This window comes from Homo sapiens, chromosome 6 (assembly GCF_000001405.40).
Source record: "Homo sapiens chromosome 6, GRCh38.p14 Primary Assembly".
Classification (NCBI taxonomy): domain Eukaryota; kingdom Metazoa; phylum Chordata; class Mammalia; order Primates; family Hominidae; genus Homo; species Homo sapiens.
Genome location: NC_000006.12, coordinates 97,703,401 through 97,719,307, shown reverse-complemented (window position 1 = coordinate 97,719,307; position 15,907 = coordinate 97,703,401). Strand labels below are relative to the sequence as shown.

The 15,907-nt window shown below is 34.4% G+C and overlaps 1 long non-coding RNA gene across 1 annotated transcript in view; it reads right to left on the bottom strand.

Annotated features, from left to right (window-relative positions):
* Positions 1-10,390: 10,390 nt before the first annotated feature.
* LOC101927314 (uncharacterized) overlaps positions 10,391-15,907 on the bottom strand; it is a 403,332-nt gene continuing 397,815 nt past the window's right edge. Inside the window, exon 5 of the long non-coding RNA NR_110757.1 lies at positions 10,391-11,621. This is a non-coding gene — a long non-coding RNA (uncharacterized LOC101927314). The remainder of the gene's footprint in view (positions 11,622-15,907) is intronic.

Here is a 15,907-nt window from a genome sequence, read left to right as displayed (position 1 = left end):
TTTGTTTCATCCAAGAAGACAGTTAAAAAAAGGTTCTTTTGAAAACATCAATAAATCGTTAGTATCTAAAAGAGCAAAGGACCTTATTACAACATCACAATCCTATCCACAGGGTAATTCAATTACTGAGTCTGTTCTACACCAAGCGAAGTCAAGAGAGCATGTTCCCAAAATATTATTACCTTTTCTTTATACACATTTGCATCTCTGTCTAGTGTTCCAGTCCTTACACCAACCCAGGAGTTTGGTGGTTCTTTGGCATGATTAAAATGTGAAACACCTCCATCAGCAACATCCCATGATGCCAGCCCATGTTTAACAAGGATATTAAATATTTTCATCTTCTTCCTCCCCATTAAACCTTAAAGGGTCAACATTCCATTTCAATAATGATTGAGTCTACACATCCCTGTAAAATATCACTGACATGATGAAAAAATTAAAAAGCAAATTTAAAAATGAAAAAATACAAAAACAACTTTTAAAAAATACTTGGTATTGCTAAAATACAGAAGCTGTCAATGGTCAAGAAACATTAATTTTTCTTTTCTGGAAGTTGTGAAGGAGAATGACTTAGATTAAAAGAAAAACTGATTGTTGTTGACTGGCCTGTTATTCAACATTAACAAAGGAGAAGAACTTACAAACTGAGTAGTTAGGTTTCCCCAACAGAACTCAGAAAATCCCCAAGGTCTACACAGTACGACATAAAGCAAAGACAGTTCCTAGAGGAGGCTGTCTCCCAGAAGGGTGGCCCATTGTTTATTTTTACTTCATCTGATGCACAGTTTGTATGAAGCTTGTATTTTACCTTGGTGTTCTTCAATAAGAGAAGCTGGGTGAGTAAAGAGGGAATGTGGGATTTACAATACCCCAGCTAACTTTAGACCACTTCAATAAATCCAAAAGGAAAGAAAAAATAAATAAAGCCTAGGTAGAACTGTGACTTTCTCTCACACGTGAATTGTCACAATTTCCCTCTTTTGTCCATTCCTACTGGAGACTGCACCTTTGCACTGTTTTGACATCCCCAAGTTCCACCAGCAGGAATTGGAGAAGAGAATATGTTAAGGAATACATGTTGAGAGAAAAATCAAAGGTCATAGAAACTACTTGAATACCATCAATAAATAATTTTTAAAATATAGAATATTAAACAATTATAAAAAGAAATGAATTAATACAAATTAACTAAGATAGAAAAATCACCAATGTATTAAGAAAAAAAAAAGAACAGGTAGGAAAGAGTATCTGCAGCATGGTTACATTTTTATTTGAAAACTTTAAACATGTTTACTAAATATAATGTATAGTATAGATGTAACATATAATTCAGGAATGGAACAATATGTAACAAAATGTTCATAGTAATTATATACAAGTGGTAAGATCATAGGGAATATTTTTACTCTTTATATTTTTCTCTATTGTCTAAATATTTACTTTTTTAATCAGAAAAAAAATCAATACAAATGTTTCTCTTCTTGGTGGCAGCTTACCATATGGAACTGATAAAAATGTTGATGTTACAATGTATGCATGTGGACTCTCTTCAGTATGTGTTCTTTTTCTGTTGTCTTTACAAGACAATACCTTACGTAGAAGTTGAGAATCCAATAGAAGGAAATTCTGAGCATTAGGCAAGGCAGGATTTTGCTTCACTCTTGAAACAAATGGCTCCCCATTCAGACTATATATTGGTGTACTTCTGGCAAAAGCACATATCCAAGGACAACGTCAGTGTAATGGTCCTACTTGTTTTATGTGACTGTGTTAAAGCAATTTACATTTTGAAGTTTGGTTACTTGGTTATTTACATAGCACAAACTTCAGACTTCTATTTCTGGTAATGGTAGATTAAATAATTCCTACTAACACTCCTGCTAAAGACACTAAAAAAACTGGATAAATATTCAAATACTTGAATGCTTTGGAGAGCTCTGAAGGCCAAGATCTGGGAGAAGCTGAAACCTAGACAAGTAAGCTTGGCAATTGAGCCTACTTTTTCCTTAGGGACATCTGCGGTTCCTGAAAATTTGGCTGAAAGTCTAAGGAGATGAGCAGCTCTTTTGATAGGAGTCAGGGTGAATTACAAGTAGCTTGCTCTCTCGGGGACTGATGCCCAACTTTGAATCATCTTGATCCTTGAGCTTGGGTTAAGGCGATCCCAGATTGCAAGTTTCTCTGGCTGCCTGACAGAAGCAAAGGTAAGTCCTCTCTGAAAAAATATAGTCTCATCCTATGCTTCACATAACTTTAAAATTTTTCATCTGCAATAATTTCTTTTGGTATTTCTTGTAGCATGAATCTTTGGTATTTCTTGTAGCATGAATCTTTGGTATTTCCTGCAGTATAAATCTGCTGATGATGAAGGCTTTCAGTTTTTCTTTGATTGAAAATAAATTCATGTCACCTTCATCCCTAAAAGATACTATTTCCCTGGAATAGAATTCCAGGCTGTTCATAATTGCATCTCAACATCTCAAAGAGATAATTACACTATTTTTTGGTTTCCATTGTTTGTACTATAGCATCACCAGTGCTCAAATTTCTAGGTATCTTGAACTCTGAAATCTATCTATAATATTTTCAGTAAGTCAACAATAAATGGATTAATTAGGCTTCTATAATAGGTCTCTATTCAATGCCTCTACTGTCTCAATATCCACTTATTTATCAGTCCACTACAGAGTAGCTTCTATCCCTAACTTCTGGAACTGTCCTCATTAAGAACAACAGCATCTTTGCTACTTTTTTTTTTTATGCAGCAATGTTATTTTGTTGTTTGCTCAAAAGGATTGCCCATAGTCAACGACATTTTATGTTGGATTCTTCAATGGCATATTCTCTTAGTTTTTATTTCTGTATGTATATTCCTTCTGTCTCAACTTTTCAGACTCATCTTCCCCTTGCAGCCACTTTGGCCGTATTCACGAGCCTTTTATTTCTTCAATGCCCCCACAGTCTTTGCAATCTTTTGGTCCTTTGTATAGTATCTTCCTTACTAAACCATCCACTCCTCCTATCTTGTAAATTACTTTGTCAAGGTAAGTTATATTTATTTTGAATCTCAGATTAAATGCCCTTTCCTCTGGGGGGGAAAAAAAAGCCTTTCCTACACTCCCAACAGTAGTTTAAGAGCTTCTGTTCTTTTTGCTGTCAACCACATGGTTGTAGAAGTTATTTTTACCATTAATTGTTGGTTTAATTATATTATTTCTCACTAGGATATCAGCTTTATGAGGGTAGGGACATCTTGTTTTTGGTTGAGTCTCCAGGGTCTAGCACATAGCCTAGACTCCACTAGGCACTCAGTAAATACTTAATAAATGAATAAGTCTGTCCTATTCTCCCCTTTTTCCATCAACCATGGTAGTGCCTATATTCAGCTTTCATTACAGAATTTCTGCAATAGCCTCCAGACACATGTCCATATCTTTTCCTCTCTCACATTTCAACCTACACACTGTTTTCATATCAATATAGTCTACTTGGCTTTTATATACTGTTGTTCCTCCTCTCTTTTACAAAACACATATGTCTGGACAATCTTATTCAATAACCATCTATACATTTACTAATGTACCTCCAAATATACAAATAAATACAAACAGAAACACACATATATATATGTGCTTGTGTGTATATATGTATATACAAATACACACATGCACACCTTCTAATTAATGTTATAGCTACATATTATGTATTGAGATTCATAGGCTTGAATATAACAGGTAAGCACTTAAAATATGGAAGATAATGAGTTACATTGTGGGCAGCATGCTGTAGTTATATATTTGTAGCAGAATTATGAATTTATGTTATGTTTGTTATATTACAAATCTGTGTTTATAACACAATGCCCACATTATAATATTATTTTCCTTATTTCTAAGTTTCTCTCTGTTATCTTCAATTCTGTGGGTCTCAATGCCTGAAAACATGGATAATGATATAACTTCCCATTCTAATTATGAAATGTTTAAGTATCTTTCTTTCCTCTTAATTTCAGTTATTTCACAGAAATATTGGTTACTCTGTCAAACACATAATTAATTAACTCTACCACACCACTAAACTTTCCCTCATCTTTAAGATACTGCATCACTGTTCGGAACTATATTCCCCCAGAATTTGCATGTTGAAGCCCTTATACTCAGTATGACTGTATTTGAAGACAGGGCTCTTAAAAGCCCTTCAATTACTTTTAAAGAGATAATTAAGATTAAATGAGGTCATAAAGGTGGAGCTCTAATCCAATACAATGGGTGTCCTTATAAGAAGAGGAAGAGATACCAGAGCTGTGTGCACACAGGGGAGTGGCCATGTGAGGACACAGTGTGAGGGCAGCCATCTGCAAGCCAGGGAGAGGCTCAGAAGAAACCAACCCTACCAGCACCTTAATCTTGGACATTCAGCCTCCAGACTGGAAGGAAATAAATTTCTGTTTTTTAAGCAACTCTGACTCTGGTATCCTGTTAAGACACCCCTAGCTGACTGATACCATCACCCTCCATGTCACCAAACATCTCCATCATTCTGAACATGTCCTTCTCCCTAAACACCTGTATCAGATTTAGCTAAGACTCTTCCTCCCAAATATGATTTAATATTATATTTTTGTCTTTATCTTCACTGTAGTTACTTAGGTCCCAATTTCTTCATCTTCCTGAACTATAGTTGTGTTGTGTCTGTTCTCTTTTGCCTCCCATCTTTGTCCCCTTTTTCCTTTCCTCAACCTACTACCTAAATCATCTTTCTACATAACAAAAGTGATTGCATCACATCCCTCTTAAAAACCTCTAATCTGCATGAACTATAAGACAAAGGGCAAATGCCTTTTTTGGGGATACATGGTCCCATGGACCTGGGCTCAACTGAACTGTCTAGCCTTTTCTCCATCACTGTTCCTCCAGCCTCCAGCCACACAAATAAAGGCTGCAGCGTAACTCAATTTCTATCTTGGACTGTTATGTTTTCTGACTTCTCTCTTGATTCAGTGAAGCCTTTAAAACACATCTGGGCAGAATAAGCATTCCCTGCATTGTCACCATCACATTTTTTTTTTTTTTAATAAATAACTCTGTGGTACATTCATAAAATGAAGTGAGTATGTTTACATGACTATTGCGCTAGATTATGAGTCTTTTGAGAAAATGAAGAGCATGTAATTTATGTTTGTATTTTGCATGCTTAGCATTGGGCATGACCATAGTACTTGACAAACAAGAGTTTCATAAATGAATGGACAAAATAATAAATTAATGGTATTCAAACATAACTCAAATTTTCCGCTTAAAATTCTTTTAAAAATCTATTGGTAGCCTAAGCAACATAGTGAGATTCCATCTCTTCGAAAAATAAATTAAAGAAATAAGATGGATATGGTGACATACAGAAAGCTAAGACGGGAGGATTGCTTGGGCCCAAGAGGTCGGGGCTGCAGTGAGCCATGATCACGCCACTGCACTCCAGCCCGGGTGACAGAACAAGACCCTGTCTCGAAAAAAAAAAAATCTCTTGGTATAGAATGAAGTTTGGACTTCTCAGTCAAACATTCAAGACACTTTCCTCTGGACAAAAATATTTTTCTCATTGCCATGCTTCTGTTTGCAGTGTTTCCACGTTTAGTCTTAGTTCAAATATTATCTCCCACAAGCTAAAAATGATTTTGTTTAATTGTGTGTTCTTAATAGAATGGCTTTCTGCCTAGTAATATAGTTTTTTATTAGTATGTGCTAATATCGCTTTTAGACTTTAAGCTTTTTAAAGTAAAAATCCATATCCATATCTGATTTGCCTTTAAAGATTTAATACCTAGTCCTGTTCATGTAGCAGACACCCAATAAAAACACTGTGACATCTACTTTATGAATGCTCACTGAGTATACCTATTGGCTCAAACATTTTGTTCATGAGTCTTCAAAAAAGTTTATACATACACCCACGATGTGTGTATATTTATTTATTTATAAATGAAACATGTACAGATATACTATAATTTCAATAGATTCAAAAATTTTAAATTTTAAAAGATAAAAAAATAAATGGAAGTTCTCATGTTTTTCCCCACATACCAATGCACCTGTTTGTATAAACTATTGTGGGGTAAGCCCTTCTTTGGAGACCAGTGACATAGACATGATTCCCATTATATTATAACAAATAATTATTAATAATCTGTACTATTACTGCTTTAGTTATCTAGTGTTATTGAGAAAGGAGAAGTCAGCATAGTTTATTTTCCATGTAATAAAAGCTTAACACATTATAGGTAGGAACAAAATCTGGCTAGCTATCAAGTTATGCACTGAATGCTTACCACATGTCAAACACAGGGTGACAGGTGCTTTGTCTCCATAATCTCATTTAATTCTAAGAACAATCCTGCGAAGTAACTTTCATAATACTTACTTCATAGATTTTTAGAAAGATTAAAATGTTAATGACGGCACAGTCGGGAGTTACAGACTCAGGATTTGAATTTACACTCGTGTAACCCTAAAGCCTACATTTTTTCTAATAAACCAGGTGATAGCAACATTTATTTTAATTTTAACATTTTTAACCTAAAAGGCCATATTAAAATGATCAAACATCAATGTAAGTTTATAACTTCTAACAAAAGTACCACTCTGGTAGAGGACGCTGATAAGGGACTGGAGGTGGCAGCAGCTATGCATGTGTTCTGAAAAGGGTATGTGGGAAATCTCTGCACCTTACACTCAATTTAGCTGTGAACCTAAAACTTCTCCAAAAATTAAAGTCCAATTAAAAAAATTAAACATTTTCTTTTTTTGTTAAACTTGCAGGCTGAATTTGTCTCTCCATTGTCCCTACCCTGGCCCCATGGCCTCTGCTGTGACAGTCCACACAGTCCTGGCTCACAAACATGATCTCCAAGAGTGGAAGGGTCCTGATACCTTCTACGAGATTTACATTGTCAACTCGGCCCTATTGTTTTACAGGTAAAATAAAGCATGTGCAGATTCAACACTGCTTTTTTCCAAAATTAATTTCTGAATCAAAAATTAAAGCAGAAAATACACTTTCTTAAAAATCTATATTCCTGTAAGTTTTCTCATTCACATCTTTGGAGCTTTGAGCATCTGTTAAAATGGTTCTATTATTTCTGCCTACCTAATCTAATAAAAAGTCATCTCTTTTCTAGCTTTTACTTCTTCTCCTAGGCCACTTACTCCAGACATCATGATGTAATACCTTGCTGTGTTCACAAAAATCTAGTACAAGGTCTTAAAAATCTTTGTCATTAGAATATTGTACTTCAGAAAATATAACATTAAGTCAAAATTTTCTTCAAATTATTCTCAAATATCTACTTTTTAGCATAATTTTAGGCAGAAGCTCATTAAATTTGTATACAAGTCTTTAGAACTATATGATATTTAAAAGTCTTATTAGAATTTCTCAAGAAATATGCTCTAAAAAATGTACAAGGACAAAAATGTAATAAATATTATCTTACATTATCAGAATTCTGCAAGTCTTTAACAAAAGAATACCATGGCCATCTGCAGGTAGTTTTATAATACTAAAATTATTTTTCATTGAAAACAATAATAATGGTGGAATCAGATAGAAAAATAATTTTATAGTTTTAGATGCCTTCATTTCTGATATTTTATAGACATGATGAAATTAGCCTGTATAAATAATACTCTGTGCAAACTTAAGGACATTGAGTCTCTAGCATTTACTGTGGTAAATTTTGACAAATAATGGCAAATAAGATGAGTTTCCTACTCTATTGAACAATTGTTTTAATTATGCTCATAAAAGACTGAAATCTCAAAATTTGTTCTGCAGCTTCAAAAATCCCTTTATTTTATAATAGTATTTTTCTTTTGTTTATACTATATCTCAAACACTAATTAGAAAATTCAGATAATTTTTTACATTTTGCTTAAAATATTTTGTTTTTAAATTAGTGTTTGGAGGAGACTGTTGTCTCCTTACAGCTATTCTTCCTTCTTCTAGAAAGATAACCTCCACATTTAATCTGAGCACATATGTACAACTTTCTGTCTGTGTCTGCAAGGGAATGGGCATCTATACACCTCCTTTCTTTTTGCCTCCTCCCACCAGGCGGTGTGCAGAATAGGTGGTGAGCCATGTGGAAGAGATGGCAGAAAGAGCCTCTTGATCTGTGAGACTTCATACTGGCTGTGGACCAACTCTTCTACTGATGTGAAAGAATAAGCCTCAGCCTACTCAAGCCATTCTATCTGGGGCTTCTTATTACATAATCCTTTTATTTTTATTTTTTTTATTTTTTTGCCCTTAAAATTATTGGTAAAGAGATGGGAGTTTATTTTCCAAGTGAGAACAATATTTATTAGAATACAGGTTTGTAGCAAGTAAGGACTAAACAGATTTTTGGACTTTAGAATAGAAAAGTGAAGAAAAATGAGTAGCTACATTTATATATGCATTCTAAAATTTTCTCATTAAACAAATACTAATATGGTATTTTAAAATGTCAGGTTTCTTGGCATGGGTTGCAAGAGGGACTAGGAGTAAGGCATAATCCCTGTCCTTAAGCATATTATTCTCAAGTTGAGAGCTCCCACAAATTGCTAAGCATTAACCCATTGATTAATTCATGTGTTTACTCATTCAAATGGCAGCGAGGGCACAACTGTTTCATGGGAGTGCAGAGGAAAAGTGGCCTAATTCACTTTGGTAGTAGGTTAAAAAAAAATCTCCTCTTAGGATTTAGTGCCAGAGTCAATTTTGGAATACAAGATGGAATTAGTCAGGAAGGAATGCTGGGGAGGCACAATCAAAGAGCTTTGGGAGAGGAATCACGGCTATTTGCATTCTTATGGGGTTTGTTGTATTTAGTTTGTAGTCTAGAACCAAAACAGCCAGAATTGAAACTAGTAATGTCAGCAAAGGAATATTATGAATGAATGAATGAATATTAGAAATCTGATTTTAATTATCAAAGGTTTTATATGAGTAGTTATAAGTTCATAATTGATGATTCAAGTAACACAAGAACTGAAAAGTCTCTGTTGCATTGAGAGATTAAGTAGAGAGTGTGGGGGTGACACGATGGCAGAGATACGTGGAAGGGCATCACAAAACCAGATTGCTACAAGTGTTGGCTGAGGAGTAGATGAGCACAAAAATGAAGATAAGAAAGACCATTTCAGGAAGGTTGGCTGTGAAGAGCGGAGAGAGAAACTAGTAACTGAAGGAGGCTGCTTAAAGGGTGCTCATCAGAATAAGGCCTCAAATTTCCCTGTTAAGGCAGCACAACACCCTGAACCACTCAGTCTTTCATTGAAATAAAGTTGGTATTCTGGTGAGAGGATGGATTCTGCAACACAGTTTAGGTCTGTTGTTATTAATATGTTTTAGATACACCATCCAGTTGTAAAGTGCAGCCCATTCTTTGCAATTATGTACCATGCCTTGCCTGGGTACTAAAACGAATCTTTTCCATAATGGTAGATGTGCCTCCAGAATGGTGCTACCTGGAAATAATAATAATCCAGACCTTTCATCTCTGAATTGTACTAGTGTAATGTGGGTATAACTCAGCACAGCACTTGAAGGCCTACATCTGAATGGCTGCTTCCTCCCTGACTCCTCATTTCTCCATAGCTCCCACTCCCTACTGGTGTCAGTAAACTATGGCCAGTGAGTAAAATCCAGCCTATAACCTGTTTTCATATGGCCCTAAGTGAAAAAATGGTTTTTACATTTTAAAAAATCTGAAATAAAGAAACAAAAGAATATGCCACAGCCAATTATGTGGCCCACAAACCCTGAATATATACTATCTGAACTTTTACAGGAAAGGTTTATCAACTCCTGCCCTAGAAAATGATATAGGGTCATCATACAACTTCTTTTTTCTGCTTTTTCCTTTCATGATCTCTTCTATGCTGCTTTTAAGAGGATCTATTGCTTAATGGTCTCTAAGACTTCTCTCCATTTCTAATCCCTGTCACTTTATTGACTGCTTGCTACTCAATTCTTCTCTTCTTTCCTGTATTACTTGCCCTCCATCTCCTTTCCCTATTGTGTCTGCTGAAATTCTTGACCTCATTATAGAGGGGCTTGACATTTTATTGCCAATACAAGAAAGTATTCTTTCTGAGGTGACAAATTACAATGTGTCATATGTGTAATCTTCAAGTACTCATCTTAATTTTTGCTGTTTCTTCAGGTAAAGAAAAAAAAGAAAGGTTTTTTTTTTCATATTTCATGCCCTTCTTCCTTATCTAGTTACCTTTCCTCAGTCCTTTTTCTTAATATCACTCTTTTTCTCTTTGACTTTCATAATCCTGATTGACTCTAGTTCACTAAATTGTTACTGATTATACCACCTCCAGGAAACTGAAGCAGTCCTCAATTATTTTCTGCTTGAATTTTTTATTTGTTTGAAATGTTAAATTTAGCCAAATAAGTATTTTTTTTCCAAAATGGCCCAACATAATTTATTTTTTATGTTAAAATGTACAGAGTTCTTTTGAAAGTACTTGCTAGAAAGGGGAAAAAAAGATATTACATACGAGGAGAGAAAGGGAAGCTGGCTGGCCCAGGAGTGCGTGACATGTGTTCTAAATCACTTCATTTTTTAAAGATGAGTTGAAGCTACATAAAATGGAACTGGACATTTTTTCAACATAGGTTTTCAGCTCATGTCAGATAGTCAGCTTGGTAACTGCCAATGATCAACATAAAAAGAGCCAGCACAACAGCTTACCATGTTTTATCTCATCATGGCCCTTAAAATGATAAAATGCACCTAACCTTTTCCTCATTTTGCAACATTGGACCCTCTACAACACAATATAATCTGCAGACCTATGAAGAACTAATTATGCATATAATAAGGTTGTAATTTCTCTCCAATATTATCACCAAGTTATCTTCACATTTTAAATGTTTCCTTATAAAATTTTCCATGGTATGTACATCATTTTTTTAAACTTATTTGCATTCAAAATTAAGGGTGCTTTTCTCAAACCTTTTCATTATTACCGTCTTATATAAATGGGAGGGCAATGTGATACTAAAAGGTCCAACAAAATAAGCATTATGAAAAAAAGTCTGTTGGGCAATGTTCTAACATCCACTTAATCCATAAAGACAAGTTCTCTCAGTATTGATGTAATATAGAATATATTCTAAGTTATGCAAGAACAAAAACTTCAAGCCTGAATGGCAACAACATTTCTATGTAATGAGTCTGTTTACACACACCAAATTTAAATATCTTGGGGTTTTTACTGGTGTCTTTTATAGATTAAATCAAACCCTAAGGATGTAATCAAATTAAAAGGATTAGTGTTCATTAATAAGATGGCAGTAATATTTCATCAAAAGTTTGCTAAGTCTCTCTCTGCAAAACCAATAGATAAAAGCAGGCAGTGCATAAAAGTGCCTATCTACTGCATTAGAACATGACAAAAATAATATTTCTTAACACTGCCAAAGAACCATCTATTTCTGAAGATCATACCAGTTTCCATTGCATAGGCCAGTAAGGGTCATTAAACACCAATGGGTCTCTGAGTCCTTCTTCAGAGTCAATGACATTGTAGACTTCACTCGGGATCTCATTTTCCTCCACACAAGGTCTGCAGGGCAAAGAAGGCAAATGAACTATGAAAAACATAATCACTGCTTTTACTGTTGCTTTTTTTGTCATAAAAATTCCATTTATTTAAATTCCATTAAAAAGCACATTTGGCTGCCGAGAACATAAATATACACTTTTATTATACTTAGCATTTTTCATTTAAAAAAAATCTGTCATTTGTTTAGATAAAAATGTTAAAATATTTCCAAACTACCTGTTTCAGCTAACCACTTTCTATGTGTTTGTTGCATACAATAAATGCTGGGAAAACAAGTGATTTGGAATGTAATTCCAAAGCTATGTATATATTTCCCATTAGAAGTTATCTGCTTACATTGATCATTATCCTTACTATGTCATGTGCATTCCACTTATGACTTCTCCCAACATACATCTCTTAGAAGAGTGATTTAAATTACTTGAGCTGTAGTGGAAAACATTTTTTAAAAATCTCATTTTTCTAATTGCTCTGATGTATTTAATAAATCATTAACTGAGAAAGTGACAGCACTAGGAATTCAGGGAAGCTTTTTAACACAATGTTCTCCTAAAGACAAAACTGTAATTCAGATAGTCACATCTGCTTTGCATCTTAGGGGATTACCAAAACCAAGTATTGGAGAAAATAATCAAGCAATGACATTAATGACATATCTGTCTTAGAAATACACGTAAACTTAGTAAAATGACAGGTGAGATAAACACTACCAAATAGTAGAAAAATTCTTATTTGTAAGTATACACAAAGCTTATAAACTAAGAGTATAAATTTATCAAGAATAGGAATTATATCTAATTTTGATATAACTCTAGACCTGTGCCAATAGGTTATTTGGGAATTATTTGCTGATTTGCTTCTAGAATCTCTCAATGAAACAGCCAAGTAGAAGCATTTGCATAAGAAGACGTGTTCAGAAATGTTCTCTACAGCATCATTTGCAAAAATAAAAAGCTGGAAACAAATTAAATCGCCATTAATATGAAATTGTTTAAATCATTTTATATTCACACAGTAAAATGTTATTTAGCAGCAACAGTAAATAAATGTGATCTACAAGTATCAACTGAATACATTTCAATCAGTTCAAAAATTGTAAGCAGAGTGCAGAAGGCTATGTACAGTATGATATCATTTATATAAAGTTTTAAATCATCCCAAAACAATTTTATACATCTTTTTAAAATGATACGTATTTAGGATACAAATCTAAGCACACATAGGAAGGCCTCTGAAGAAGGCAGGGAAGAGAATCGTTCTAGGAAGGGGTATAGAGGAATTCAACTCTAGTAATGTAGTCCTTTAAAAAACTTGGAGCATTTACGACAAAATTATAAATCTAACAAATCTAGATGGTACGTACATGCTATTCATTATATGTGTCTATTTTCTACGCATATTTGTACATAAGTGTATCTACAAGCATTTATGTATATATTTTCTGTAGACTTGTAGTATGTTATAATGACAAAACACACATACACAAACAAAACCAGTGAGGCCTAGTTGTTATAAGATGGTCTGTGCACATTGGTCCTACAGTGTTTACTTCTTCACAGCAGGGTGGAACCACTAGCTCCAAAGCCCACTGGCAACAAATGCACATTTTTGCACATCCATTTGTTTCAAATGTAGTCCAAATAAGTAGATTTTTGGCCATTTAGAGCCTGCCTGCTTTGCGCAACCCCACAAAACTGCACCTAACATCTGCTAACCGTAGATAAGATAAACCCTGGGTCTGTAACAGACCCCAAGCTTCTGCTGCCCTTAAAAGCTTTCCCACCCAGAGTCTCTCCATCATGCTGCTGAGCAACATCCTCTAGACTGACGCCTCCTTCTCCAAACCTCCTCTTCCCAAGAGTTCCTTTTGCCTCCCTCTCCTTTAGCTTGGTGGCCCCCTAATTATTGCCTTTGGGAAGGCGTCCTGCAATAAGGGACCTCCCCCATTTACAAAACCACCAAAGCACCACCCAAGTAATGCTTGCTGTGTGCTACTGCCACCTCATGGTCACATCTTTAAGAAAAGGACCATTATTTCTCCAAAAATGACTATTACTTGTGAGTTTTCAGAAAAAATGCCAGAATAAAACTTTTGGATGGCCACATAAAGGAATGACAGATCATCCAAGAAGAAGGTAGCATGGTATTCACAGAGGTGGCTGGAAAGCCCCAACCTGCCCTTGGTGCTGTGAAGCCCAACGCCCTCTATCACTGCAAGAACACACTGTCAAGATCATAGGGACAGCATTTGAAATGTGTACAATACAAAATCAAGTAGGAGAGGAGAAAAGGAAGCTTTATCAAATAATTTAATTTCAAAATACTAAAGCAATGAAAATAAAAATGGAATAAAAGAAAGCATAAAGCAATTCAAGTAATATAAGTTAATAAAATCGAAGAGAATTGTTAAAATACGGAATGAAAAATATCTATGCATAGAAAAATATGGTTATCATGATCCAATTGTATATTTCACATGTATGTTCATCTACATTTATGGAAGAATACTTAATAAAATGTGAAAATGAAACTGGGATCAAGAACATTTCCTTATGGTTTTCTGTACTATTTGAATTTTTTTTTACCAACAGCATGTACAACTTTTATGTTTAAAAAATATTTTAAAGACAAAACAAATATCAAAATATTTCAGATTTTCAACGTAATTTGGGAATCTAAATTTTTAAATAAAATTTCCAGTTTATGAAAATACATTTGTAGTCAATAAAATATTAGAAGGCTATATTTGTCCCAATGTCACAAATTTTGACCTCTGCTCTATATCCTCACAATTCTTCCACATATCATTGGAATACAGAAGACTGGGAATGTTATATCTTGCGTTACATCTTACAACAGATAAGAAGGGAGTAATTATTTCAGAGAAGTAGATTTCAATGTAAATACTTATATCTTCATTTTTGTGTCCCATTCAGTTACATTCTTAGGACTATCTTCGAGAGAGTATCTAAATATTTTGTGAACCTACACTGCTTAACTTTTCAGGAAATTTTTCTTTGTTGTTAGGTTCCAGCTCATTTGCTTAGTGCAAAATTTTCATATCCTTCTCCATAACTGATTCCTGAACACGTCGACCTGCACTAAGTTTATGTAGGTGATGCTGAGACACAATCAACAACAGGTGCTTTCCTCATCTTGCACATCCCTGAAGAGCACCTGCTGTCTTCAGAAATGATTTAAGTGACCCAGGCTTACAGCATCCCATTGGAACGATTATGGTTCTTATAACTGAAGAAAATTGTATGAAAGCTACATCTTCTCTGTTGGATTCAAATTCACAGAACTGCATAGCAGAGATGCAGAGCTCTAAATAGGATGTCTTATAGGAAAATGCCAAACTGGCTCCAAGTGATGATTCCTTTTCAATTTTTTGAAAATGGTAATGTTAACCATTGCATCATTACCTATTATCCTTCTGCTAGATGTTTTATAGAAAAGCTATACTTTGGAAAGTAGTATATTACCTCACAGTCCTACCAGTTTTTTTAACCATAAATGTGCATACACAGCTACTTCACAACTAAATGACACCAAAAAAATTTTTAAAATAACAGCACATGTACACTTTTAATTTCCTAACAAGTTTCTTTTACTTTTTTTCTTTGGAAAGTAAATGTACAGATTAAAAAATATAAGTTGGCCCAGGAACTATCTTTGAGACAGTCATGGGGAATAGTCTGCTATAGATAATGAATCCACAGCCATAATACAGTTAGAGGTTTGGAAACCTTGCCAATAACAAGCTGGTAAGGGCTTGCAGACTAACCTCAATGCATGCAGTTTTCAGGCATATAATAGCTGCATGGTTAGAAGCCACTTCACTGACTCACCTGAACTCTATTCTCCGTTTCCTTTTTATGCCAATCTCACAGCATGTGTTAGAAAATATTTCCCTTTAAAGGTACACAAACTTACTAACTATCCACCTAAGAGTGTACACGGATTTGCATCCAACCACAAACTCCTGCTACAGGATATTATTAAGGTTTTTTTAAAAATGTAAAGCAATAACACAAATTTTCCTCACTGTTAAAGAAAATAAAATTCATTTGAAATGATATTTTTGTATTCTTTCTTGTTATTAAACAGTACAAAAACAAATAAAAAATATGTATTCCTTTACAAGTTTTCATGTGCTAGTCCAGTGGTCAACAAATTTTTTCTGTAAAGGGCCAGATGGTAAAAAATTTAGACTTTACAAATATCTGTCAAACTATTAAACTCTGCTATTGTGGCAGGAAAGCAACTATAAATAAATGAGCTGT